The sequence below is a fragment of the Homo sapiens genome, chromosome 1, assembly GCF_000001405.40.
Source record: "Homo sapiens chromosome 1, GRCh38.p14 Primary Assembly".
Taxonomy (NCBI): domain Eukaryota; kingdom Metazoa; phylum Chordata; class Mammalia; order Primates; family Hominidae; genus Homo; species Homo sapiens.
Genome location: NC_000001.11, coordinates 201982533 through 202010422, shown reverse-complemented (window position 1 = coordinate 202010422; position 27890 = coordinate 201982533). Strand labels below are relative to the sequence as shown.

At 49.1% G+C, this 27890-nt stretch overlaps 1 protein-coding gene, 1 long non-coding RNA gene and 1 other non-coding gene across 6 annotated transcripts, besides 5 other annotated features; 1 reads left to right on the top strand and 2 right to left on the bottom strand.

Moving 5' to 3' along the window:
- Positions 1–69: 69 nt before the first annotated feature.
- On the top strand, positions 70–10372 carry ELF3-AS1 (ELF3 antisense RNA 1). The gene is made up of 2 exons (NR_146472.1): positions 70–623; positions 10096–10372. It is a non-coding gene; the product is annotated as an ELF3 antisense RNA 1 (long non-coding RNA).
- Positions 1597–2238: an enhancer, noted in NCBI's record as "H3K27ac-H3K4me1 hESC enhancer chr1:201977313-201977954 (GRCh37/hg19 assembly coordinates)". NCBI's record gives its function as "activates a minimal SCP1, AML or CMV promoter by ChIP-STARR-seq in naive H9 embryonic stem cells {active_cell/tissue: H9 hESC(naive)}" and the evidence as "EXISTENCE:reporter gene assay evidence [ECO:0000049][PMID:30033119]".
- On the bottom strand, positions 4280–27775 carry RNPEP (arginyl aminopeptidase). 4 transcript variants are annotated; one of them, NM_020216.4, is made up of 11 exons: positions 27310–27775; positions 21379–21519; positions 20892–21040; positions 14160–14276; positions 12869–13104; positions 10408–10521; positions 8935–9047; positions 8656–8764; positions 6962–7186; positions 5927–6069; positions 4280–4865 (listed from the first exon to the last, which is right to left on the bottom strand). In NM_020216.4, exons 1-11 carry the CDS (start codon positions 27754–27756, stop codon positions 4707–4709), a joined length of 1953 nt encoding a protein of 650 aa, NP_064601.3. In that variant the 5' UTR covers positions 27757–27775; the 3' UTR covers positions 4280–4706. The 4 variants fall into 4 exon arrangements, with proteins under 4 accessions (NP_064601.3, NP_001306111.1, NP_001306112.1 ...); NM_001319182.2 differs by lacking the exon at positions 27310–27775 and adding an exon at positions 26907–27062; NM_001319183.2 differs by lacking the exon at positions 20892–21040 and having other exon boundaries at positions 14014–14276.
- Positions 5449–6091: an enhancer, noted in NCBI's record as "H3K4me1 hESC enhancer chr1:201973460-201974102 (GRCh37/hg19 assembly coordinates)". NCBI's record gives its function as "activates a minimal SCP1, AML or CMV promoter by ChIP-STARR-seq in naive H9 embryonic stem cells {active_cell/tissue: H9 hESC(naive)}" and the evidence as "EXISTENCE:reporter gene assay evidence [ECO:0000049][PMID:30033119]".
- MIR6740 (microRNA 6740) lies at positions 7187–7299 on the bottom strand. Its single transcript, NR_106798.1, has one exon. It is a non-coding gene; the product is annotated as a microRNA 6740 (primary transcript).
- Positions 18293–20724: an enhancer, noted in NCBI's record as "VISTA enhancer hs2572". NCBI's record gives its function as "enhancer in: branchial arch[3/4]" and the evidence as "EXISTENCE:transgenic organism evidence [ECO:0001131][PMID:17130149]".
- Positions 24299–24473: a silencer, noted in NCBI's record as "fragment chr1:201955078-201955252 (GRCh37/hg19 assembly coordinates)". NCBI's record gives its function as "represses an EF-1alpha promoter that drives an FKBP-Casp9 reporter gene in an ReSE screen in K562 erythroleukemia cells {active_cell/tissue: K562}" and the evidence as "EXISTENCE:reporter gene assay evidence [ECO:0000049][PMID:32094911]".
- Positions 27190–27869: a silencer, noted in NCBI's record as "silent region_1696". NCBI's record gives its function as "represses an Ori minimal core promoter by ATAC-STARR-seq in GM12878 lymphoblastoid cells {active_cell/tissue: GM12878}" and the evidence as "EXISTENCE:reporter gene assay evidence [ECO:0000049][PMID:35858748]".

The window sequence follows — 27890 nt, the reverse complement described above, 5'->3', positions numbered from 1 at the left end:
GCTGGGAAATCAGGCCCGGCTGGTTTAATGATTGTCAGAGTCTGTCATCCCGCACCCTCTGGGGTTGGGCACGGGGCACTGGCCTGGGCAGGTGGCGGGAACGTTGCTGGGGTGGGCATCTGTGCTTTCGGCTGCCCTCTGGCCCAGGAAATTCCTCCCAGGGGCCAGGCCAGAGATGGGCCAGGCAGGGGGAGGGCAAGTGAGGGAACATGAACCCCTGGCTGACCTGAGTCAGAAAGCTGCTGGCCCCTAAATTCCAGAGATTCAGCAACAAAGAGGCCTAGTAGGGAGAGGAGTTACTAGGTTTAGGGGTTTTTCCCAGAACACCCAGGACTCTGGCCAGGGGCTGGAAGGTGCTCCAGGCTCAATGCTGGGCAATACTCATGGATTAATTGGTGCTGGCTGGGCCTGCCAGCCTAGTCGTGGCCCCAGGGTCCCCACTAAAGGGCTCCTTCTCCAGCGCCCACTCTGTTGGCAAGGTCTTCACTACCATCACCTGCCTGGACTCCATCCAAGCATCAGGGTTGCTGCAGTCGCTCCTGAAGAGACCCGGCTCTGCTTGAAAGTTCTTCCCTCAGCGCCTGCTGGAGCCCTCCCTGCCGGAGTTGCCAGAATCCACACGGGTAAGTTCATCCCTGCTCTCTGGACCCCATCTAATCTCTGGTTCACTCGGCCCAGTTTTCCAGTACCTTCTGCTGCCCTCTAGTGGTCAGAAGCCTGACTACCTGGGTCACGTCATTCAAAGAAGAGGGAATGCATAGTATTAATATATTTACCAAGCACTTTTCAACATATTCTCTCATTTAATCCTCACACCAAAAAAGTCCTGTAAGGAATGCATGGTTATTCCCATTTTATAGACATGAAAGTTGCAGTGTGGAGGGTTCCCTTAGAATGGCTTGCCCAGGCCACACAGAGTTGGTGAAGGGGTGGAGCTGAGATTCACATCCAGGTATGCAGGTGTGTTGTACACAAAACCCTCGCTCTTTCCCTGCACAGGATTCAATGTCTTCGGGCTTCAGAGTCTTCCCATCCAGCTCCATGGCCAGAGCCCTTGCCTTCCCTGTGGGCAGAGTCCCCCATGTCTGTGGTTGTCTCTATGGACTCAGCCCGAAACACAATGGATAGTGTCTTATAGACCCTTCTTGAGACCCTGAATGGGGTAATACAGGTGGTTGAGGCAGGAGACTTGTAGCCAGCATCTGCAACTGTGTGATCTTGGATGAGACCCTTGGAGTCTGTGCTTGTTTCCCCATCTATAAAAAATGAGGTTGTCTGAATTTAATAATCCCTAAGATCTCTTCCAGATCTAGTATTTTGTTTATTTTGTTTTGAGGTGGAGTCTCGCTCTGTCGCCCAGGTTGGAGTGCAGTGGCGTGATCTCTGCTCACTGCAACCTCTGACTCCTGGGTTCAAGCGATTCTCCTGCCTCAGCTTTCCGAGTAGCTGGGATTACAGGCGCCCGCTGCCATGCCCGGCTTTCTGTATTTTTAGTAGAGACGGGGTTTCACCATGTTAGCCAGGATGGACTCGATCTCCTGACCTCATGATCTGCCTGCCTCAGCCTCCCAAAGTGCTGGGATTACAGGCATGAGCTACTGCGCCCAGCCCATATCTAGATTTTTATGCATTTGAAATGTAGGATCCGGTGGCTCACACCTGTAATCACTGCGTCTCAAAAAAAAAAAAACAAAAACAAAAAAATGTAGGATCTGTGTGACCCCCCTCCATTAATGCACAACTTGGGGAGTTCCTGGCCACCCTCAGCCAGGGTGGGTGAAACGGTTACTCAAACAAAAGGTGACTCCACCTTCTACAGATACTTCTTTCTTTAACTCTATAGCCTGAGGACTAAGAAAGTCCTGCGCAGAGAATCTGCTTCTTACCTTACCTTCTTCCTCTCTGAAGCTCCCAGGTGCCTAGGAGAGAGTTAATGTCCAGGATCCCCCCGCCCCCCCGCCCCCGCACTGGGCCAGTGCAGGCAGGAGAGCCTGGGGCTCAGTAGGATTTTCCCCAGCCCTTCAGGGGGCCTCCCCCAAGGAGCCTGAGGCAGGCACACCCTCCACCCAGTCCCTCACCCAGGAATGTGGGAGAACCGGCTTCTAGCCCCAGGGCTGCTCACGTGCTCCCTGCCCTGAAGAGCATCTGGCTGGGGCTCCCGGGATGGCGGGGTGAACAGGAGGATGTACGAGAAAAATGAGAAGGCTGTCAGCTCCCTTGCCTTCTTGGGGCTTCCTCACCGCTGACATGGAGCTGAGATAAGGAATCCCTACAGGCTGGCAGCTTGAGATAAGTGAGAAAGACTTGGATTTGAGGTCAGTGCCTTGGAGGCATGGGGATGGGGGTGGGGAGAAGGTTCCAGGATAGTGGTGAAGAGAGCTATGGAGCAGGATGCCAGGGGCTTCCCAGTATTCTGTGATGGCAAAAACAACCCACTGGCCTCCCCTCTCCCCACAGAGCTTGCCCACACGGCAGCACAGCCTCATCTTTGGGATGGGAGAATGTCCTACAAAAGGACAGGCACATCCAGTAGTCCTGTCAGGTACCAAGGTGGTGAGTGAGGCAGGCTGCACAGCTCAGGATACCCACGCTATGTAATGGGAGACCCCACAAAGTTAGTGGAGTCACAGCACGGCTGTTAGAGGAAGGGCTTCCAGCCTTTCCTTGCACTGACCCTTCATGATTACTGGGCCTATTGGTGCTATAGGTTTTTGTACAGAGCAAGGAAAGATAGCTACTGATAAGCTAGATAAAAGGTTGGGGAGAGGGGGAGACAACTGGATAGCCCTAAAATAGTCCTTGCCAATAACATATTGCCAGGAACAGTCCTGAAAGAGCCACGGAAGCAGTTTGCTGTCAAAATGCCAGTGCCTGGAGAAGCTCTTCCGATACCGGGCCTCCAGATCCCTCACCTATGACCCACATCACCCTCTCTGATGGTGGAGCTGTGTGCCACGGGGCAGAGGCCTCTCCAGTCTACCACTTGGTCACCACTAGTCCCTTGCTCTTGCTGAGTGAAAGCAAATCGACTCATTCCCAACCCTTGTGCAGGGGAGGGAGGAAGCCTGTTCGATAACCTAAATCCGAGGACAGAGCAGAGCTGCGAACAAAGCCTGTTTCAGGGGTGCCCTGTATTTAAGAAAGGCAAATGAAACACACTAAATATTTCTTCCAACCCTCCCCTCATCCCACTCCCAAACCCAGATTGCTAACTGTTTAGGTCCCCATGTTGAGGCCAGGAAATCAGAATTTAGTGCTAAGTTCTAAAGACTTTACTGATTACCATTCAAATAGTTATCTAGGATCAAAGACAGGTGAGGCCCAGTGAAGCCTTGGGCATGGGCAGAAGGGTAGATAAAAAGTCATAAGACACTTTATTTTTATTTTTGAGACAGGGTCTCACTCTGTCACTCAGGCTGGAGTTCAGTGGCACAATCAAGACTCACTGTGGCCTTGACCTCTTGGGCTCAAGTGATCCTCCTGCCTCAGCCTCCTGAGTAGCTGAAACCACAGGAATGCACCACCACGCCCAGCTTTTTTTTTTTTTTTTTGAGAAGTCTTACTCTGTCACCCAGGCTGGAGTGCAGTGGCATGATCTCAGTTTACTGCAACCTCCACCTCCCAGGTTCAAGTGTTTCTCCTGCTTCAGCCTCCCAAGTAACTGGAACTACAGGTGTGAGCCACCATGCCTGGCTAATTTTTGCATCTATCTTTTTTTTCAGTAGAGATGGGGTTTCACCATGTTGGCCATGCTGGTCTCAAACTTCTGACCTCAAGTGATTTGCCTGCCTCAGCCTCCCAAAGTGTTGAGATTACAGGCGTGAGCCACCACGCCTGGCTTTTTTTTTTTTTTTTTTTTTTTTTTGGTAGAGATGAAGTCCTGCTATGTTGGCCAGGGTGGTCTCAAACTCCTGGGCTCAAGCGATCCTCTCGCCTCAGCCTCCCAAAGTGCTGGGATTACAGGCATGAGCCACCGTGCCCAGCCCATTTTTTTTTCTTAGTGATGGAAAAGATAATGGGAATGCTGCTGCAGATAGAGAATTCAGCTGCTTCACGGAGAACTGGAATGCTATTCCTTTTTCATTTTCCTGCACCAGCTGTGCCATTTTGCCATATTTTTTTTCATATGCATGTGTAGGACACCCACCTCCTTCACCCTGGCTGTTCCCTGAGGACAGGAAAATACTGTCATTCTCTGGGCCTCCCCCAGTGACCTTTCCTGAACAAACACAGTGAGGACCTCTGGTGGAAGAAATTTAATAGTCACTCAATCCGTAACTTAATTTTTGCTTGAAAACTTTATTAAAATAAGGATTAAACCTGAAAAAAGAACAATCAGAATGCCAGCCCTTTGCATAAAATCAGCAAGAAAAAGGACAGAAAGAGAAAAAAGAAGAGCATCAGTCCTCTCCACTTCTTCCCAGAGACTTAGGTGGGGAGGAGAATACCCGCTGCCCTGCAGTGCCTGCAGCCTGTAGCGGGGAGAGCTGTGGGCAGGTTCTCTGTCTCGGGGCTCAGTGGGCTATAGAGAAGTAAGTTCCCACCAGAGCAGAGGCCCAAGAGTCACAGATACCTAAGCTAGAGAATAGATTATCCTGAGGGGATATAAACTCCAGGAAGTTGATCAGGGAACAGGAATTTGGGAACAAACAATTATTCTGAAAGCCTGGAGAGCCTGAAGAGGCAGGGGCCATGCACACGAGCCTCTAACTGCCCTTGGGTGCCACGATCTGCTGGACATAGTTGACAACATTGCTGTGGAGCTGGGAGGCGGTGGATGCAAAAGTCTCCTTGGCGAGGGTCTGGGCCACCTCACTGCCACCCATCATTGCGTGGTACAGCGGAAGTGTATACTTCTGCTTCCCCTGCAAGAAACACACATACACATGCCTAAGAAGCTTGCCTGGTGGATCTGTCCAGCCCTGCTGCCCCCAGTGCCAGTCTAACAGCAGCCATGGCTAGGTGCTAAAAGGGATGTGGGCATCACAGCTGGAATGAGGAGCTTCTCATCAGAAGTGCTCTAATTCAGGCATCTTCTTGGGCGCCAGAGATCCATGGAGATGGATCTCAATACGCGTCCCAATCCATACTAACATGGGGACGTCTACAGTCAACAAAATGAATGAGTTGGGTGGACACAATGGGATTCCAGACTTCTGGAAAGGTGTAGGTGGTGAGCCACCACGTGAATAGCAGATATCAGCAGCTGCGGCACATAAAGCTCACAGCCGCATACGGTCCAGCTGCAGTCAAGCAAAGGAAAACCCACAGGTCAACCCACAGGTCAAATTCACACAAATATAAGCCAGCGACATCACAAGTTCCTAAAATCCAGAGCCTTGAGGAAGCCATCAAAGGGCTCAGAATATCCCCGAACAGGCAGGCAGCCCTGACTTTATGCAGAGCAATGCTTCGTCTCCGGTCCAGCCCCTCCCTGCTCCGGAATCTGATGACATTCAGTTCATCCTGAGAGCCCGGGGCCTTTCCCCAACAGGGCAACTTTCACATAGTGACAGAGGGTCTGGCTGCTGTCCCGATCATGCCCAAGTCACAGGGCAGCAGGGACCTATCCTCCAAGCCTTTGTTCCTCTTGCTCCGCCTCTGGCCCCTTTCCCTCTTGTGTTTCCCACATGACACTGTCACCCTCTTTCCCGCCTCTGCGTTGGCTCTGGCCAGCTTTTTTCCCTGGGGTCTCACCAGCTGAATTGCAGAAAGCACTGCAAGCCTGCAGGCCTCCTCTTGTCCCTAGGGCAATGCCTTCAAAGCCACACTAGTAAAGAGGCTGAGTGGTAGGGTCCTCAGGTCATTTGCCCCTCCCTCTGTGCCTCAGATGAGTCCTAGATGAGCCCTGCCCACATGATTACTTCACATATGGCCGAGTGGGTCCCAGTGTGCTTTCGGGAACAGCGAGGCAGGGGTCACCCACCTGGTTATGCAGGAACTCCTTCACTTTCCAGAAATCTTCCTGGTGGTCGTTCTTAAGGACGATTTGGCCCCATCGCAGCCGGAGCTCTGCATTCCGGGCATTTGAGATACTTGGGTATGTGTCTCCAAGTTTTTTCACATTCCCTGGAGAAGAGAAAGAAATGGTTTGTGGCTGGTCACGGTGGGTCACACCTGTAATACTAGAATTTTGGGAGGCTGAGGTGGGCGGATCACTTGAGGTCAGGAATGTGAGACCAGCCTGGCCAATATGGCGAAACCCCATCTCTACTAAAAATACCAAACAAAACTGGCCGGGTGTGGTGGCGCACGCCTGTAATCCCAGCTACTTGGAGGCTGAGGTGCTAGAATCAAGAATCACTTGAACTCAGAAGGTGGAGGTTGCTGTGAGCCAATAGCACCACGGCACTCCAGCCTGGTCGACAGAGCAAGATTAAAGCAGACATATTCCCCCAATATCTGTCCCATTTTTTCTCCTACCACTCATCTGCTAAAAGTCATCTTGGCTCTAACTTTTTTTTAACCCCTTGGTGAATATTATGTTGACTGAGCAGCCACAAAGCATTAGAGGTTGAGAGCTCTGGATGACTGGGTTCTGTGCGAACTGTTTGTACCTCAAGTTCATTCTGTCACCTGGGTATTAACATCACACCGCCTACTTCCCAGAGGAGTTGTGGGAATTAAATGACTTAATAGACACAAAAGCCTTACAAGAGTCGCCTGCAGGAGCTTCGGACTTGAGCAATGCCAGGCTTTGTGACTTTGTCCTTGAGGTGCTTGTAAGTAGAACCCATAACCTCCCGATGGCACATTCCTTGTGGAGTGCCAGCCTCCCTAGTGTACGTGGCAGTCCCCTAACCCATAACCTCCCGGTGGCACATTCCTTGTGGAGTGCCAGCCTCCCTAGTGTACGTGGCAGTTCCCTAGGGGCAAGCATCACTACTTTTTGTGAGCCTCCCTCTAGCCCCTGACATAAAGCTGTGCACACAAGGAGCCCTGGTTCACCATTTTTTCTTACCAGGAGGGAGAGGGGATTTCTGGAGGATCTTATCCAGGAAGTAGACCAGCTGGTAGGTCTTCCAGGGAGAGATGGCCACGGCTTCAATGGCCTTCATGTCCAGCTCCTCGGCTGCCCACAGTTGGGCTAGCTCTTCAGCAGGCTTCATGAGTGAGTCCCCAGGGGAGAGATCAGGGAGGTACGGGGGCCAGCCGGGGGTATTCAGCCATCGATCAAACTCAAAACCTGTTTGGGAGGAGAGAAGACACTATCAGAATTCTCTGGCCAGGTTACGGTCAACTGGTTTAAGCAACTCCCAGAGACCTCAAGTTTCTCCTCTCTCCATCCCAAACTCTTTCCCCAGCATTTAACATTACTTTCCCATGTAACTATTCGCTCCAGCAGGGTCCTAGTTATAACGACATCTAGAGACTGTGCCGTTTCGACCGTGAAAGTGCTTTTCGCTCCAAATTAGCACTGTGTTGTCAGAGCCAAGTTGGTGGATGCTCTATTCACGTGCACATTCTCCTACCGATCACAACCACACTGTACTTAAGCACCCAGGCTCTAGGACCAGGCTGCCTGGGTTCCTACCCCTGCTCTGTCATTAACCAGCTGGGAGGCCACGGGCATGTTACTTCACCTCTCTGCACCTCAGTTTTATCTATAAAGTGGGGGTGATAGGCCCTGCCTCCGTGATGGTTATGAGGATTACATGAGCAAATAAACATTAAAAGCTTAGCGTATCGCCTGATGCATAGTAAGTACTCTGGAATTATTAACTACCATTAGCTCCGGAGTCCCCGCATTAAAATGCAAGCCTCCAACCGAACAGTAGGTGCTGCTAAAGTCCTGACCAATCCTACTGTCAGAGGACGCGGACTTCATCAAACCAACAATAGAGTGACTCAAGGTTCAGGTCACAGCAAGAAGTGGGGGTATGTCTAATGGATTGTGTCTTCCATGACAGGACATTTTTCGTTTTTTCTTTGGAAGTGGTACCTCCCAGGCAGAAACTGGCGGCTGGGCACAGCGGCTCACGCCTGTAATCCCAGCACTTTGGGAGGCCGAGGCAGGTGGATCACCTGAGGTCAGGAGTTCGAGACCAGCCTGACCAACATGGAGAAACCCCGTCTCTACTAAAAATACAAAATAGCCGGGCGTGGTGGCGCGTGCCTGTAATCCCAGCTACTCGGGAGGCTGAGGCAGGAGAATCGCTTGAACCCGGCAGGCGGAGGTTGCGGTGAGCCGAGATCGTGCCATTGCACTCCAGCCTGGGCAACAAGAGCGAAACTCCATCTCAAAAAAAAAAAAAAAGAAAAGAAAAGAAAGAAAGAAATAAGGAGGGCCACTGGGGTTGCCTTCACTCAGAAGGCTGTAGGAGGGGTGCTGCCTCCGCTCCTGCCCTGTGAGTTTTAGCTTGGGGCAGTGGTGCGGCAGCAGTGGCAGCTCTCCAGGCAAGTTAAGGGTCTGACTGTGTGTCCAGGTGAGAGGAGAGAGTAAGGAAACAGACTGGGAGAAAATGAGGCAGAGAGGAGTGAAAAGAAGTCATTCTTGTGGAATAAATCCCAGGATTCTGGGTTTGCTTCCCAAAACGCCCCTACCTAGCTGACTCTGACCCAGTGTTTTCCCATCCACCACCATCTTTCCGAGTGTCAATGAGATCTCATTCTCTACTATTTTTTAGAAGCCTGTGGGCCAGTTCCTCTGCTTACCTGGAATGATATCCACTCTCTTTTTCTTAAGCTCAGGGAAATATTCCAAGTAGAAGTCCAGAAAGTCATCGGCTAAGATGCTTCGGAATTTGAATTCATGCACATAGGCCTGTGAGGAGGGAAAGCTCTTTAGACCCTCTCTGGCCCCGTGGGGAGTGGTGTCCCTCTGTGTCCTGGGTCCTCCTCCAACCCCTTACATCTTTCGCCCCCTGCCTCTACCCTTGATCAGGCCCAGTGGCTTTATCCGCTCCTCTTCCTTCTCCCCTCATGTGACTATACCTTGAGAAAACTGTCAAACTGATCCTGATCACCCACCAAGTGGGCCAGGTATGAAACAAAGCAGAAACCTTTCTCGTAGGGGGTCTCATTATAGGTGTCGTCCGGGTCAACGCCTGGCAGAGGAGAAAGCAGACAAGATTTGAGCTTTTGTAGCCTGTCACCCGTAACGTTCTTCTCTAGCTCCACAGTCAAAGACTAGCGATGGAAGAGATCAGAATTCAGCTTCCCCAGGGACAGCAAGGCCAAGAAGGTGTCCAGATCCTGGCCTCTCTCCAGATCTTGGACTCTCTCAAGGCCAAGACTCTCTCTCTTAAGATCTCTATCTCAAGGCCAAGATCTCTCTCCAGATATTGGCCTCTCTCAAGGTACTTCCAAGATCTCAGAGGGCCATTCACTGTGGATCTAATATGAAGACAGAGAAACCAGCCTTCCAGAGGAGCGGACACATTTCCTTAGTCCCAGGATACACTTTGTGTGGGTAGGTTCCATCAGCATTTCCCACTGAGCACCAAGCTGTGTCTTTTCCATCCCTATTGGTCACCACCTAAATACTCAACCTACCCTCCCAGATCAATGTTTTTTTTTTTTTTTTTTTAAGACGGAGTCTTGCTCTATCACCCAGGCTGGAGTGCAGTGGCACGATCTCAGCTCACTGCAACCTCTGCCTCCTGGGGTCGAGCGATTCTCCTGCCTCAGCCTCCCCAGTAGCTGGGATTACAGGTGTGCATCACCACACCCAGCTAATTTTTGTATTTTTAGTAGAGACAGGGTTCTCCATATTGGCTAGGCTGGTCTCGAACTCTTGACCTCATGATCCACCCGCTTTGACCTGGGATTACAGGCGTGAACCACCATGCCCAGCCAATGTGTTGTTTTTACAGCTGTTCCAGGCTAAAACTAATTACCCGTCTCTAAGAAATTCATCTGCAAACTTAACGGCATCAAGGAACATGAGCTTCAATTGCATAAAAAGGTTTCAGATTAGTCACACATGGAATGAAGGAAAATGTTAGGAAGTAAAAAGATCTGAATTTGGAGAGAGGACCCGGATCTCAGTTGCAGTCATGCACTGATTAGGTACATGACCTGGACAAGACACTTAACTTGTCTGGCACTCAGTCCCATCCTCTGTAAAATAAGGCTAATGCTTTTATTCTACAGAATCCACAGATCTGCCCTGATGATCATGAAGGAATGCGAAAGAGCCTGGTAAAACGATATGGACTTGTGCAAATGCAAAGCAATGGTGAAGTCATCACGAACCGCACAGACTGGACAGAACTCCTATCTGGCTGCAATGGCTTGGGTTCAGTCAGCCCAGGGGCCAGAGAATTGGCTACAAAGAGCTCTGGAGTGCCCCTCCCTCCAAATAAAGTATTCTAAGCGTGCACTGATCAACATGAAGTTCGCATTAACTTGGGGCTCCAAGCTCAATTGAGGGGAGTGGGTGTCAGACAGAGGAGCCTCCTGGACCTGGTTCAATCTTCACGCGGAGCTTGTTGAGTGGGTTTTCCTCTCCAGTGATGTCCATGTGCTGACGCAGCAGAGCCCGCCCCGTTGCAGCCTCCAAGCAGGTGTACGCAGCGCCTGGTGCAGAATCAAACGTAAGCCTCGGGAAAACGTCTGTCACCACATCCAAGTGTATTTTCCTGACAGAGACACTGTGCTGCCTCCTTGTGGCCTCAAGAAGAACAGCGACAGATACCTGAAGCTTAATAACATTACCCTCCTGGGGACCCAGGGCAAATAGGGACAGTTACAGAGAGCCTGACTCAGTCCCTAGCTCCCTGTTGCTGTGGGCTACAAAGGACTTGGTTAACTCAGGCTGTTGGTCTCTCTCCTAAGTGAGGACTGGGGGAATCGCACCTTTCTGACAGTTACCTTTCCTTATCAAAGTACTGTATTTTTATTTTATCTTATTTCATTTATTTTATTATTTTATTTTTTGAGACAAAGCCTCACTCTGTCACCCAGGCTGGAGTGCAATGGCGTGATCTTGGCTCACTGCAACCTCCGTCTCCTCCTGGGTTCAAGCGATTCTTCTGCATCAGCCTCCTGAGTAGCCGGGATTACAGGTGTGCACCACCACGCCCAGCTAATTTTTGTATTTTTAGTAGAGAGGGGGCTTTACCACGTTGGCCAAGCTCAAACTCCTGATCTCAGGTGATATGCCCGCCTTGGCCTCCCAAAGTGCTGGGATTACAAGCGTGAACCACCACGCCCAGCCCCCGGCCTTATTTTTAGAAAATGATTTGATTTTTTTTTTTTTTTTGAGACAGAGTCTCGCTCTGTTGCCCAGGCTGGAGTGCAGTGGCACGATCTCGGCTCACTGCATCCTCCACCTCCTGGATTCAAGCAATTCTCCTATCTCAGCTTACCAAGTAGCTGGGACTACAGGCACACACCATGATGCCTGGCTAATTTTTGTATTTTTAGTAGAGACGGGGGTTTCACCATTTTGGTCAGGCTGGTCTCAAACTCCTGACCTCAGGTGATCCACCTGCCTCAGGCGTGAGCCACCATGCCTGGCAATGACTTGATCTTCTGTGAAAACTTAGAATTATTTTCATCTAACTGTTTCTGTCAGACAAAAGAAATTATCAACCCCAAATTTTTAAGGATCTCTAAGTCTCCTTCTGCATTAAAAACAATGACTGAGGGAACAGTGGAGGGGTGGGGCACAGGGTTTTGGAACCAGCCAGCTCTGCCCTTTCCTAGATGTTTTGACTCTGAGTAAGTGGCTTAGCCTCTCTCAGCCTCAGTTTCTTCAACTGTACAATGGGATAAAAATATTTGCTTGCAGGATTCCTAATGGCTGATTAAGATATTCACAAACAGGCTCTTGCTATATATATTCTGAATGAAAGTACAGAATTTGTACAAACTTTCTGGAAGATAATGGACAATATGTACTAAAAAGACTATGTAATTTAAAACGTTCAGGGCCGGGCGCAGTGGCTCACAGCTGTTGTCTCAGCACTTTGGGAGGCTTAGACAGGCAGGTCACTTGAGGCCAGGAGTTCAAGACCAGTCTGGCCAATATGCCGAAATCCTGTCTCTACTAAAAACATAAAAACTAGCTGGGCATGGTGGTGCATGCCTGTAATCCCAGCTACAGGGAGTGGGATGTGGGGGAGCTGAGGCAGGAGAATTGCTTGAACTACGGAGGTGGAGGTTGCAATGAGCCGAGATTGCAACGCTGCACTCCAGCCTGGCAACAGAACAAGACTCTGTCTCAAAAAAAAAAAAAAAAAAAAAGTTCAGACCCAGAAATTATGTTTCTAAGAATTTATCATTGTTGAAATCATCTGATATGAATAGACATTTATGTGTAAGGAAATTTGTCAACATATTTCAATGGAAAATTGGAAACAACCAGTAAATTAAAAAACATCCATATATGCAGCTATAGAAGAAAATCTAATGGGCTGGGCATGGTGGCTCACGCCTGTAATCCTGGCACTTTGAGAGGCCGAGGAGGTTGGATCACCTGAGGTCATGAGTTCGAGACCAGCCTGACCAACATGGAGAAACCTCGTCTCTTCTAAAAATACAAAATTAGCCAGGTGTGGTGGCGCATGCCTGTAATCCCAGCTACTCGGGAGGCTGAGGCAGGAGAATCGCTTGAAGCCGGGAGGTGGAGGTTGCAGTGAGCCGAGATCGTGCCATTGCACTCCAGCCTGGGCAACAAGAGCAAAACTCTGTCTCAAAAAAAAAAAAAACTAATGACCTGGGGAAATGTTTTTTTAAAAAAAAGTCAGTTGTCAAACCATGTGTGGTTTGACAATTCATACATACAGAAAAATGTTGGATACACACTACTGCCTCGTCTCTTCACACCCACTTGTATTCTGAAACCCCATAAGGAGATCACACTGGCCCCACAGGTTAAGAATGGGAGGCAGACTCCTTAGGAGAGGGGTGGGCACTTTACCAAAGAGGATGGTGGAGATCCTCCTCTGGGCGTACATGGTGAAACCTTCATTGAGCCAGAATTCACCCCAGTTGGCGTTGGTGACCAGGTTCCCAAACCAACTGTGGGAGATCTCATGGATGATGACATCTGCCAAGGAGCGGTCCCCAGCTAGCAGGCAGGGGGTGACAAAGGTCAGACAAGGGTTCTCCATTCCTCCAAATGGAAAGGACGGTGGCATGAAGAGCAAGTCATACCTGCCGAGAAGCGGGGAGGTCACCAAGAGGCCCTGGCTTCCCGGAGCAGACCCTACCTCGCCTCCCTTTCCAGCCTATTTCCAAGCCCTAACAGATGCAGTCACTAAACAGGCAGAGTACGACTTCGGGCCCAGTGCGGAAAATAAAGCCCAGGCTCCTCAATGCTTCTCCCACGTGGCTCCCCTGCCTTGCTGGGACTTCCCTCATCGAGGTGGTGTCTGCTCTCCTGGAGCTCACTCTCCAGGCATTTGTTTCCCTCTCTCCTTCCAAGCAGGGGTGGAGGTGATAAATGTATTATCAGCTCCATCACATGGAGTTCCCTGGAGGCCAACTTGGGGTCATAAAGACCAACCTGGAGCCTTTTATCTAAGGAGCCTAAAGTCTGAAGATGTCAAAGTTAAAAACAGAGTGTGGGGAAACTTCCAGCAATGGGAAAACACAGGTCAACAAAGGACCTTGACGGTGCTGCCCCATCTCAAACTTGGCAACTGCAGGTCACATTTTGAACACCTCAAGAACCTCTTCTCTGCCGGGCCTGGTGGCTCACACCTGTAATCCCAGCACTTTGGGACCAAGGTGGACAGATCACCTGAGGTCAGGAGTTCGAGACCAGCCTGGCCAACATGGTGAAACCCTGTCTCTACTAAAAATACAAAAATTAGCTGAGTGTGGTGGAGGGCGTCTGTAATCCCAGCTACTCTGGAGGCTGAGGCAGGAGAATCGCTTGAACCTGGGAGGTGGAGGTTGCAGTGAGCTGAGATCACGCCACTGCCCTCCAGCCTGGGTGACAGAGCGAGACTCCATCTCAAAACACACACACACACACACACACACACACACACACACACACACAAAGAACCTCATCTCCTAGGCCCTCTCCTCAGCAACAGTGAGAAGCCTGGCTCATACCCTCCTCTCTTCCTCCTCTCCTTCACTTCTGGGATCAGGGAAACTTTGCTCTGGGAGGCAGGAGGTGGAAAAGCCACACGAAGAGGAAGAATGGAAGCCAGTGACTCAGTTTAACAGGAGACACTAGAGTCAATGTGATACCACACCTTCCCCAAACATAAGGTCCAAAAAGCTTCTCTCCTGTTGCCAAAAATTCTTCTATCACCCCGTTGTACTCCTCCTTGGCAGCATCAATCAGGCAGGGCTCAGCCCACACCCGGCTCCTAAAGACAAGAGAGCAGAGAAAGCAGAATGGTGTTTAGAGACCATCGCAGTGACCTGATCCTGAAAGCACCTGTAGGAAATTGGCCTCCGCCAAGTGAATGTGACAATGCAGTCAGCCACAGTGACGGAGTGCAAGATCGGATCACCACACAGATCCAAGAGACCGCTCACCACACCTGAGAAACAAGAACCCAAGACAGCCTCATGGAGGTGGAACCGTGCTACGCAGTTATGGCTTCACTACTGAATGCGATCTTGCAAAAGTGATTTAACCTCTGTGAGCCTCAGTTTCCTCATCTGTAAAATGAGTGAAGATTAAATAAGACAACACACAAAAGCCCTTCAAACATTTATACAGTAAATGTTAGTTTTCTTCTCCCTACTTAGAGGAGAGATAAGAAAGCGTTCTAATAGTAGAATCTGGAATTGAATAAAACCTTAAGAGACAAACCTTTTTTATTTTTTTTTTAAGACAGGTTCTTGCTCTGTTGCCCAGGCTAGAGTACAGTGGTGTGATCCAACCTCCACCTCCTGGGGCTCAAGTGATCCTTCCATCTCAGCTCCCCAACCCCAGTAGCTAGGACTACAGTTGCACATCATCATGCCTGGCTAATTTTTTTATTTTTGTAGAGGTAGGGTTTCGCTATGTTGCCCTGGCTGGTCTTGAACTCCTGGGCTCAAGTGATTCACCTGCCTCAGCCTCTCAAAGTGCTGGGATTATAGGCATGAGCCACTGTGTCCGACCCAAACCTACTAATGTTAATAGAAATTTGTTAACTGCCTTAGGTACAATAATGGGATTGTGGTTATAAGGGAGAATGCCTCTATTCTTCAGAGAGGCACACAGATTTACTTGCTTTTAAATGGTCTAGCAAAAATAAAAACAAATCCACTCATAAAACTAATATGACAAAGTAGATGGTTCTATAGGTGTTCAATGCATCATCCTTTCAATTTTCTAAATATTTGAAATTTTCTTAATAAAAAGATAGGGAAACAAAGGTGGCTTGGAGGAAACAAAAACAAAAACAAAAACAAAACAAGAAGATCCAGTCTAATGGAAAGATGCAATGGACTCAGGGATCCTGCAGCCAAAGGCTCTGCTTGACCAAGAGCCCCTGGCTGCGCTTAGAACTGCTTTTCCACACAGACATATGAATGAGACTGGCTGGGCCTGGTGGCTCATGTCTGTAATCCCAGTACTTCGGTAGGCCGAAGTGGGTGGTTCACCTGAGGTCAAGAGTACCAGACCAGCCTGACCAACATGGTGAAAGGCTGTTTCTACTAAAAAAAAAAAAAAAAAAAAAAAAAATTAGCAGGACATGGTAGTGTATGCCTGTAATCCCAGCTACCTGAGAGGCTGAGGCAGGAGAATCGCTTGAACCTGGGTGGCAGAGGTTGCGGGGAGCCAAGATTGCACCATCGCACTCCAGCCTGGGTGACAGAGTAAGACTCTGTTTCAAAAAAAAAAAAAAAAGAGACTGATGGCAAAGTGGGATGGGTCCAGGCCCGGATGAGGGAAAACTTCCTCTGCGTTTGCTGAAGCATAGGAACTATTCTAACAGGAAGAAAAGATACAGGGAAACCAGTATCAGGTACTTCCCAAATATCAAAAGCAAAGACGTAGCCATGGAACACTGCATATGCATGTGAGGAAGCACCGAGAGTCTGGGATTACTTGAGGACAGGATCAGATTGCAATGAGGGAGGCAGTGGCAGGAGGTGGGACATGAGATGCCCAAGAGGGTCGGGTCATGAAGAGCCTCAGGTGCACTGTTACAGAACCGGACCTTCAGAGCCATGGGAGCATTTTAAGCCAACAAGTGACATTATCAGATTTAGTTTTAAGATATCATCCTGGCTGCAGAACACAGAAAATATGTTAAACTACAAGAATGGGTGAGCTCTCCAAGGAAAGCATGTAGAAGAAAAGAACAGGTCAAAGACAGAGCCTTGGGCAACATCGACACACAAGGAGCTGGGCAGAGGAGTCAGGGAAGGAGATGAGAAAAGGACTAACCAGGAGGCCTGATGACCAGCATGGGTGGTGTCACAGAAGCCAGAGGAGGGTCAATGGGGGCAGAAGAAAAACAGCAGAACATGAAGGCAAGGGCTAAAAAGCATCACATATGTTATCCGTATTGAGGCGAATGGCCTCTCTTACTAGTTTCAACGGCATGGCAAGGGTGGGGGGCTGGATTCCAATGGGTTGTAGCAATAAATGATTGTGGGGTGGGGGGGTTTCAAGAAGTGCAGCCAGTGCGTATACATGCCACTGAAGTCACCTGGCTACAGAGGGAAGGACAGTGTGTCGTGCCAGAAGAGAATATGGAGTTAAGGGTTTTTTGAGTTGTTTGTTTGTTTGTTGAGACGGAGTCTTGCTCTGTTGCCCAGGCTGGAGTGCAGTGGCGCGATCTCGGCTCACTGCAAGCTCCACCTCCCGGGTTCACACCATTCTCCTGCCTCAGCCTCCCAAGTAGCTGGGACTACAGGCGTGAGCCACTGCACCTGGCCGAGTTTGTTTTTTTTTTTTGTTTTGGCTTTTTTTTGAGGTGGAGTCTCACTTTGTCACCCAGGCTGGAGTGCAGTAGTGCAATCTCGGCTCACTGCAACCTCCACCTCCCACGTTCAAGTGATTCTCCTGCCTCAGCCTCCTGAGTAGCTGGGATTATAGGTGTGCACCACCATGTCCGGCTGATTTTTGTGTTTTTAGGAGAGATGGGGTTTCACCACGTTGGCCAGGCTAGTCTCAAACTCCTGACCTCTGGTGATCCTCCCACCTTGGCCTCCCAAAGTGCTGGGATTACAAGCGTGAGCCACCACACCCAGCCTTGAGTTTGTTTTTTGCTTTGCTATAGATCTTAGAGAAACTGGTGCTTGTCTAGAGGGGGAGGCTGCAGATTTGAAGAGAGAGATGTAAATGATGAGGCAAAGTCCCAGAGGACATGTAAGGGAAGAGATTTGGCTTTAAACAGAAGGAAGGACCTTTGTTGCAGTCCGGAAGGATAAAAGCAGATGAAGATAACTTTTTAAGTGGAGGACAGGAAACTGACATAATCATATCTGATGAATTTAATATTCTCAATAAAACAGGAGACAAGACCTTCTGCTTAAATGAGGGGATGGGATTGGATAGCAAACTTAAAGAGAAGAGTAAAGTCTTAGAACAGCTTAAAGGGAGTGAGATGGAAAGGTAAATAAGAGGACTGTTGAACAACCTTGAAAGCACACCTGCAGTTGAAGACTGTACATCTGTTACATTTTTCTGGAAAACCCCACACATGTCTATTTCAACTTTCCTTTAATTCCAACTTTTCACGAAGAATTGAGAAAGGTGTAGTGGTTATTACTGTGTAGTTTCACTATTTTCTACATCTCCCAAATACCCACTTATAGAAGTAGAGAAAAGGAATTGTATAACAAGGGACTGGGACATTATAGCAGCGGGAAGTGGGCAAGGGGCTTTGGGGTGTTGGTAAGAGGTAACCAACCACACACTTGGGCCAGGGAGGGAAGCCCAGTCAGGAGGGTCTTGACTGCCCAGGAGAAATGAGTGGCTTGCCGGAAGGGAGGCTGCCATGAGCTCAAGGAGGAGACATGGTGGAATATAGTGGGAGAGAGGCCGTCAGAGAGCTGGAAGGTTAGCAGAGTCAGGATGAATGAGGACAAGGGGCTCAAGGGCCTTAAAAGTTCAGATATGGTACAGTTCATGACAATGACGATGTCTAGGCTCTAGACTCCAGAGCATGGGTGTGAATATGGGTGGCTGACAGAGTGGAGAAGGCTCCCTGAGTAGAGGTCAAGAAACCCTGAAGGTTGGTGTTGTGGCTCATGCCTGCAATCCCAACACTTTGGGAGGCCGAGGTGGGAGGATCTCTTGAGCCCAGGAGTTCAAGATCAGCCTGGACAACATAGCAAGACCTTGCTCCTGCAGAAAATAAATAAAATTAACTGGGCATGGTGACAGAGTAGCTGTGGTCCCAGCTACTCTGGAGACTGAAGTGGGAGGACTGCTTGAGCCTGGTAGCTTGAGGTTCAATGGGCTGTTATTGTGCCACTGCATTCCAGCCTGGGCAAGAGAGCGAGGCAAGAAAAGAAAGAAAGAGGGAGGGAGGGAGGGAGGGAGAAAGGCACAAGAAACCCTGCAGCCACCCTCAACCCTGGGTGTTAGGAGAGAAAAGTCGCCAAAGATGATGTGACAGGAAACCAGACAGAAAAAGATCATGGGACGGCAGTCAGTATCTTCAAGGAATTACTTTGTGAATTGTTCTACCACCACCTTGGATGTCAAAATTACCACAGTCCTTCAGCCCAGTGGACTTCAGCTTGTTACAACTAGAAGGTTTAAGACAGTCATCCAAGATACCTCCACCAGGACACACATTTCTGTCAAAATAAATCAGGATGCTCTCAGTCAAGCTGCAATCTCACTACCTGTAGTATATTGCAAAGAGCACTGGATTTGCAATGGAAATACCTGAATTTTAATTCCAGTTTTGCCAACTAGTGGTCCTGCACAAGCCACTCACCACAGCCTTGGTTTGCTTATTTTTAAAATGTAGAAAGTATCATCCTCATGGAGTCTGTGTAAGGATTAGAAGAGATTATACATAAAAGGGCCTACTGGGATATACCCATAATTCCCCTCTGCCCAGGATTTTCCTCTTGCAGTAACAGGGACTGGGATAGGTGGCATACCTTGCCAGAAGACCCTCCGATTTAATAAACCCCCACGGCCCGGCGTGGTGGCTCATGCCTGTAATCGAGCACTTTGGGAGGCCGAGGTGGATGGATCACGAGGTCAGGAGTTCAAGACTAGCCTGGCCAACATAGTGAAACCCTGTCTCTATTAAAAATATGAAAATTAGCCAGAAATGGTGGCACACACCTGTAGTCCCAGCTACTTGGGAGGCTGAGGCAGGAGAATCACTTGAACCCAGGAGGCGGAGGTTGTGGTGAGCCAAGATCGCGCCACTGCACTCCAGCCTGGGCAACAGAGCAAGACGCCATCTCAAAAATAATAAATAAATAACCCCCCACAAGACCCTACGATGTGACCCAGGAGGCAAGAACTGTCCATTTAATCACGGAAGGAATAAGGCATTACCACCAGTTAAGTGGATTCTGTCACCTAGTTCGATATACCATGTTGTCATTTTATTACAGGCAGTATAAAAAGAAATCATTATCACTCAGTATCTTTAGAATCTATTGTTCTCTCATTTCCCATTAATAGTTCATACTCTTACAAGTAGAACCTTAGTAAGGGTATTCTTGGAAACGACGTTCCTTTACTTATCTACTTGCTTGTCTATTGCAAAGATGACATCCTTTTGGTTATTTCCCGCCCTGCCTATTAGGAAGACAGCCCTTCGTAAGAGGAGGGCACTTTGTCTTTCCAGACTGGTATTGTTTTGAATGTGTGCGCTGGGAGCAGATGCCAATGGAATCCCATTTATTATTCCAACTGATAACCAGAAACTAAGACTCATGATACCAGCAGTGCCACTGAGCCCAGTTATGAAGTCTGAGGCTCGTAACTAATGTTGTCAAGGACACCACTGCCTCTAGGAACTGGGAGCAGGGCCAGAGATAAAGAACAGCAACAGTGCCAGGAAAAGGTCACGGCTTCACCGTCCAGCCTGTGATGCTCCCACATTGGGACTAAGCTATGGTGGAGGTAATATGAGAGCCAGGAAAAACCTATACTCCTGGTCAAACCTCTTTTATCAGGAAACCTTACAAAATCCCTTTTTATCTTCACAAGATCCATGTAACTTCACGGAGGCATTGCTCTCACCGTAGGCTTAGACTCATGCATCTGCTGCAGATAGGAAGGAGAGTCCACTTCCCTCTTCGAGGGAAATGATACCAAAGTTGTTATTTCCAGGAACTACGTGCAAAAGAAAATGGGGAAGATTTGGTACAAAGATAGGAAAGTGGATATAGCTGCTAGAAGGGCATTTAGAACTTAAAGATATTAATAAAGATCCATTTCCCAGGCCGGGCATGATGGCTCATGCCTGTAATCCCAGCACTTTGGGAGGCCAAGGCGGGTGAATCACCTGAGGTCAGGAGTTCAAGAGCAGCCTGGCCAACATGGTGAAACCCCGTCTCTACGAAAAATACAAAAATTAGCCGAGCGTGGTGGGGCATGCCTGCAGTCCCAGTTACTTGGGAGGCTGGGGCAGGAGAATCGCTTGAACCCAGGAGGCAGAGGTTGCAGTGAGCCAAGATCGCACCATTGCACTCCAGTCCAGCCTGGGCAACACAGCAAGACTCCATCTCAAAAAAAAAAAAAAATCCATTTCCCAAAACTGCAGCCTAAATTCCAACATCCCTCTGTAAGGCAGCCCAGGACAGCGCTACTGCTAGCAGGGATGATGATCTCATTCCAGGCAGCAGGATTAGAACTGGAGAGAGGGAGTGAGAAAGGCAGGGAGAAAAAGAGCACTTCCTCCAGCTGTGCTCATGCTGCATGAGCTGCAGAAAGGCTCTGGACTCAGACAGAGGATCCAAGACTGCCCAAGAACCCCCCCAGCAGGTCCACTGGTCAGAGTCCTCCTCACCTCTGAGGCCAATCCAACCTTGCCTGTGGGGTCTTTGTCTCCTACCTGGGTCCAACTTCAGCCGAAACCAGATCTCCGATGGCCAAAGCTATCAGATAGGAGGGGATGGGCTGACACATCTGGAAGAAGAACTTATTTGGACCTCTCTTCTCCCAGGTGCTAGCACTCATCACAGCTGTGAAGCCATCTGGGACCTGACAACAGAGAAAGCTTAGGAGATTTTACCTGGAGAGAGTTTCCTTTTGATTAGTTTGAATAAGAGCATGACCGGCCACCTGTGTGTGATGATAATGGCCTGGAGTCTATCTTGGAGAACACAAAGGTTTCAAGAAACTAAATCTGTGCTCAACTGATGGGATTTAGAGGAAGGCTACATACAACTTCAGTAGGTGGAAGAATTTAAAAGTAAGCAATTTTTCAGAAGTACCACTGAATGGATATAATAATTTACCACTGAAACGTGACCTGATTGATAGATCTGAAATCATTTCTTCATCCCAAGGGCAGGTGCACCTAACCTTAGTCTCCTTACCTCAATAAGAGCTGAATACTTGTATTTAACAGCAGGCGTGTCGAAGCAAGGGAAGAAGGCCCGGTTTAGGACAGCCTGGCCCTGGGTGTACACGAAGGGCTTCTTCTTTCCTGCTGTCTGCTCGGGAGCCAACCAGCAAACCTAAGCGAAAAGAAGAACATTTCAGAACTGACATCTCCCACACGAGCTCAGTCTGGCCAGAGAAGTGAGCTGGCTGGAATGAGAGAATTTTAGGTAATCCTTAAAACCTTTCCGCCAGCCAGTCTGGTTTGAACTAGAAAGCTCTCTCCTCTGTGTATTTAGTTCATCCTGGAATCCATGCCAAAGTATGACATCCACTTCACAGGGCAGAGCCACCAGAAAGGGTCCATTCCTCACTGCATCCCATGGGTCATCTCAGAGACCTTGGACCGAGCCTCTGATCTTGTCATCTGTACCCTATCTGTGTCCTTTTCACTGTAGTAGTTTCTCATCAAACAAAAAACTACTGAAGCAACTGCATTTGGACTTGTGATAAGACACAGAAAAGCAGAACTCAACTGGGAGTCAGTGATTAATATGTTTTTTTTTTTTTTTTTTTTTTTTTTGAGACAGAGTATCGCTCTGTCGCCCAGGCTGGAGTACAGTGGTGCAATCTCGGCTCACTGCAACCTCGACCTCCCAGGTTCAAGCAATTCTCATGCCTCAGCCTCCCAAGTAGCTGGGACCACAGGCGCGTGCACCACCAAGTCCAGCTAATTTTTGTATTGTAAAGATAGGGTTTCACCATGTTGGCCAGGCTGGTCTCCAACTCCTGGCCTCAAGCAACCCGCCCACCTCAGTCTCCCAAAGTGCTGGGAATACAGGCATAAGCCATCATGCTCAGCCTAATATACATTCTCTTTTCTTTTCTTTTTTTTTTTTCGAGATAGAGTTTCACTCTTGTCGCCCAGGCTGGAGTGCAATGGTGTGATCTCAGCTCACTGCAGTCTCCGCCTCCTGGGTTCAAGCGAGTCTCCTGCCTCAGCCTCCCAAGTAGCTGGGATTATAGGCATGCACCACCACATCCGACTAATTTTGTATTTTTAGTAGAGACGGGGTTTCATCATGTTGGTCAGGCTGGTCTTGAACTCCTGACCTCAGGTGATCTGCCCGCCTCAGCTTCCCAAAGTGCTGGGATTACAGGCATGAGCCACTGCACCTGGCCTAATATGTGTTTTCTGTTCCTAAAATTTACCTTTTCAGAAGAAAGGTATTTTATATAATAGGCACTGGTTATATGATTCTTTATCTGTGTTCTGTTAGCTCTTAAACAAAGGGCAAATCTGGGTTGGGTGCAGTGGCTCACGCCTGTAATCCCAGCACTTTGGGAGTCCGACGCAGGTGGATCACTTGAGGTCAGGCGTTCGTGACCTGCCTGGATAACATGGTAAAACCCTGTTGCTACTAAAAATACAAAAATTAGCCGGGTGTGATGGCATGCACCTGTAATTCTAGCTACTCAGGAGGCTGAGGCAGGAGAATTGCTTGAACCCAGGAGGCAGATGTTGCAGTGAGCTGAGATCATGCCACTGCACTCCAGCCTGGGTGACAGAGCGAGACTCTGCCTCAAAAAAAAAAAAAAAAAAAAAAAAAAAGTAAAATCTGAATGATTTATCACAAAACCCAGTTTTTGCCTATAGCAAACAGCCATTCATTTACCTGGAAGAGGGGCAGGATGGAGCATAGGTCAGTAACAAATAGCATTTAGAATTTAGAAATGGATTCGATTACTCCAGGATGATTTCATAGGGGAAGAAAACTTTCTGGCTGGACCTTCAAAGACACGCAGGATTGAGATGGCTGGAAAGGAAGGGAGGAGACATTCACAAGGAGACGAGCAGCAACATGAGGAGAGGCATAAACAGATGCAGGCTCCAGATGCAGAGTTGGGGAGGCAGGCCTGGGCAAGTCTAATGAAGGGTTCTGAACACAGCAGTGTCTGAGACCTATTTTAAGAGGCATAAGGAAGCTACGTTGGGATGCTGGGTTTGAGTTTTTGTGTGTGAAAAATTTAATTAGTCTCCTTATAACAGGTACAGTGCAGTATAGAAAGGGATGAGAGAATAACTTCACAGTGGAGAAAGCTGATAATCACTGCTTCAGCCAGGGGACCGAGGTTAACGCTGACAGTCATAAATCATGTGGATACTATGCGCCCTCAATACCTGATGAAAATGGCACTTTGGCTGGGCGCAGTGGCTCACACCTGTAATCCCAGCACTTTGGGAGGCCGAGGCTGGTGGATCACCTGAGGTCGGGAGTTCAAGACCAGCCTGGCCAACACAGTGAAACCCTGTGTCTACTAAAAATACAAAAATTAACCAGGGTGGTGGCATATGCCTATAGTCCCAGCTACTTCGGAGGCTGAGGGAGGAGAATCGCTTGAACCAGGGAGGCGGAGGTTGCAGTGAGCCGAGATCACACCACTGCAGTCCAGCCTGGGTAACAAGAGTGAAACTCCATTTCAAGAAAAAAAAAAAAAAAAAAGAAAGAAAATGGCACTTTACCTCTGTGAATTGCCCCTCAAAACCCATAATCCCAATCTAATCATGAGAAAACATCAGATAAATTCCAATACAGGGTCATCCTACGCTATACCTGGCCAACACTCCTCAAAACTGTCAAGGTTGGCTGGGCTCAGTGGCTCACACCTGTAATGCCAGCACTTCGGGAGGTCAAGGCAGGAGGATCGCTTGAGGCCAGGAGTTTGAGACCAGCCTGGGCAACATAGGGGGACCCTGTCTCTACAGAAAAAATAAAAATAAAAAAATAAAAAACAAAAAACTGGCTGGGAGCAGTGGCTCATGCCTGTAATTCTAGCACTTTCTTTGGGAGGCCAAGATGGGAGAATTGTTTGTTTGAGCCCAAGCGTTTGAGACAAGCCTGGATAACACAGTGAGACCTCATCTCTACAAATAATAAATTCAAAAAATTAGCTGGGCGCAGTTGTATGCGCCTGTAGTCCCAGCTACTTGGGCTGAGGCAGGAGGATCACTTGAACCAGGGGGATCAAGGCTGCAGTGAGCCATGATTGTGCCACTCACTGCACTACGGCCTGGATGACAGAGCAAGACCCTGTCTCAAAAAACAAACAAACTGTCAAAGTTATATCAAAAACAAGGAAAGTTTGAGAAACTGTCACAGTCCCAAGAGGATACATGACAGCTAAATATAATGTGGAATTCTGGATGGCTTCCTGGAACAGAAAAAGACATTAAGTAAAAACTAAGGGAATCTGAAAAAACTATGGACTCCAGTATCGGTACTGGTTTATTAATTATAACAAATATATTATTATACTAATGTAAAATGATTCAATCTTGGTTAATAATATATCAGCATTGTTTAATTGTAACAAATGTGTCATACTAATGCAAAATGGTAGCAAGAGGGGAATCTGTGTGTATATGTGTATGTAGGAGGTACTGAACTGTATATGGGAACTCTCTGAACTGGCTGCTCAATTAAGCCAGGCATGTTGGCTCATGCTTGTAGTCCCAGCACTTTGGGATGCCAAAGCGGGCAGATGGCTTGAACCCAGGAGTTCAAGACCAGCGTGGGCAACATGGCAAAACCCCATCTCTACAAAAAATAACAAAAATTAGCCAAGTGTGGAGGTGGCAGGTCTGTGGTTGGTCCCAGCTACCCCAGCTACTCAGGAGGCTAAGGTGGGAGGATCACTTGAGCCAGGGAGGTCAAGGCTGCAGTGAGCTGAGATGGTGCCACTATACCAGTCAATAAGAATTGATCAATTGACTGATCATTGAATGCCATCAGTCAGTGATGTTTTTACTGATCAGCTAGGAAATGAGTATTTTTTTTTTTTTTTTTTAGATGGAGCCTCGCTGTGTCACCCAGGCTGGAATGCAATGGCATGATCTCAGCTCACTGCAACCTCTGTGTCCCAGATTCAAGCGATCCTCCTGCCTCAGGCTCCCAGGTAGCTGGGTTTACAGGTGTGAGCCACCACAACCAGCTAATTTTTGTATTTTTAGTGGAGGTAGGGTTTCACCATGTTGGCCAGGCTGGTCTCAAACTCCTGACCTCAGGTGATCTGCCAGCCCTGGCCTCCCAAAGTGCTGGGATTACAGATGTGAGCCACCACACCCAGCCTGGAAACGAGATTTTTAAAAAGAACAATGTAGGGAGCTTTTTGATCCCTTCTCAAAAAAAAAAAAAAAAAAAAAAAAAAAAAAAAAAAAGAAAGAAATACAAAAGTTAGCAGTAAGAGCTAACACAGCTTACTTACCATGTACCACGCACCATATTAACCACTTATGGAAAGACAACTCATTTAACCTATGTCAAGCACTTAGACTAGTGCCTGGCTCATCTTATTAAATATTAGCCATCATCCCCCCTCCACCAAAATTGCTTACTCATCATCTTTGCTTTTTTGTTGTTGTTGTTAAAACAGGGTCGCACTCTGTTGCTCAGGCTGGAGTGCAGTGGTGTTATCAGGCTGTGAAAGGAAAATCTCTTGGGCCCCCAAAATCACTAAAGAAAACTCAACCTGGGAACCGCTTAGGGCACACCTGCCTCCCATTCTATTCAAAGCCACTACTCTGCTCACTGAGATGGATGCATATCTGATTTGCTTCCTTTGGAAAGGCTCATCAGAAACTCAAAAGAATGTAACCATTTGTGTATCACCTATCTGTGATCCGGAAGCCGCTTCAAGTCTTCCTGCCTTTGCTGCAAGTTGTCCCACCTTTTCAGACCCAACCAATGTACTTCTTACATATACTGACTGATGTATCATGTCTCCCTAATGTATAAAACCAAGCTGTGGGCCGGGCGCAGTGGCTCACGCCTGTAATCCCAGCACTTTGGGAGGCCGCCGAGGCAGGCGGATCACGAGGTCAGGAGTTCGAGACCAGCCTGACCAAAATGGTGAAATTTTGTCTCTACTAAACAATACAAAAATTAGCCGGGTGTGGTGGCGCACGCCTGTAGTCCCAGCTACTAGGGAGGGTGAGGTACGAGAATCGCTCGAACCCACGACGCAGAGGTTGCAGTGAGCCGAGATCTTGCCACTGCACTCCAGCCTGGACGAGAGTGAGACTCTGCCTCAAATAAATAAATAAAAGATTAAACTGTAAGCAAGCAGTTTACTATGAAACTTGCAACCAACTCTACCTGAGAGATAACTGGCAGCCACAGCCTAAGGACTCTCCAGGAAGGATTTTCTGACTCTTACAGACATAAGCCACATAACTCCATCCTCTTATTTCCAATATTTGCCCCGTCCCGAAAAAAAATTAAAGAGTTAACCAACAGTGAGAAGGCCAAATTATTATAATGCTTATAGCACCCTAATTCCAGTTCTCACTTTTACTCAAATTCTTTCGTTAATCAAATCCAGGACTTCACAGGAGGAAACAAAAACAAAGATAAGAGCTTTAACCGTGGAACTAGAAGGCAACACAGAACAAAGAGCTAGATCAACATCTGGCTAATTCTAGAGCCACCATAAAGCAGAGATAAGGTGGCTGATAATCAGGTACCTCGGCCCAAAAGTCCAAGAGGGCACTAAGTGAAGTGCATGAACAACAGGTCATCTAGAAAGCCACGGAAAATGTTAGAAACGGCAGTGTGCGATGAGCGGGAATGCGGCGCAATCTGGACAAGCCTCCAGGGCCAGGGAGGAGACGCGGAAGGACGGAAAGGGTGAAGGATGCACCGCCCAGTGGCTGGAGGAAGTCCAGAAGGAAACCAGGCAGCCCGGGAGGAAAAGAGGAAGCAAGGGGAGGAGGCCTAGAGGCGGCGCGCGGGGAGTAGGCCCCTCTAGGGACGCTCTGGAAGGGTCCTCCCTGTCCCTCCTCCCGGGTGGGGTAGGTGAGGGTGCAGGGCGGCTGGGGGCCGGAAGGGCAGGCAGGCAGCGGCGGGCGCAGTCTGGGGCGCACTCACCCCGGGTCCCTCCCCGACGCGGTAGGTGAGCAGCACCTGGAGGCGCTCGGCGGCGCGGCAGGGCTGCGGGAAGGACACGCACAGGGCCTGGCCATAGTGCGAGAAGGGCTGCGTGTAGAAGCTCACGGGCTCCGCAGGCGGCTCCTCCGAGCCGGGCCGCTCCCGCCGCAGCGCCGCCGCCGTCACCTCCAGGCACGGGTGCGAGTCCAGCCGCAGCTCGGCGGCGCCCTCGGGCTCCAGGCAGCGCAGGTCCAGGACCGCGGTGCCGCTCAGCCCCCGGCTCCCTGCGCCGGGCCCTGGAGGCCCGAACTCAGCCCGCAGGTCCAGGTGCAAGTGCAGCAGCTCAAAGGCCCGGAAGTTGGAGGCCGAGGCCACGTCCACAGCCTGCGCGGAGTGCAGCGGCCGCCGGGCCGCGCCGCTGCCGGGGGAATGCTCGCCGCTCGCCATGGCCGCAGAGCCGTTGCTCACCGGCCGGGCCGCGAACCCGAGGGGAGCCCCGCCCCGAGCGCCGCGGGCCCGCCCCCGCCGCGCGGGCCCCGCCCCCGAAATCTGCTCCCGACCGCATCCCCTCCCTGCGCTTT

Coding starts and splice junctions, on each gene's coding strand:
- RNPEP (NM_020216.4), bottom strand. CDS start 27,756: ATGGCGAGCGGCGAGCATTCCCCCGGCAGCGGCGCGGCCCGGCGGCCG. Junction 14,277..20,891: donor TCGGCTGAAGTTGGACCCAG/GTAGGAGACAAA, acceptor TCTTGTCTTTAG/GAGCCGGGTGTGGGCTGAGC. Junction 4,866..5,926: donor AGGAGTTCCTGCATAACCAG/GTGGGTGACCCC, acceptor TGTTTCTTGCAG/GGGAAGCAGAAGTATACACT.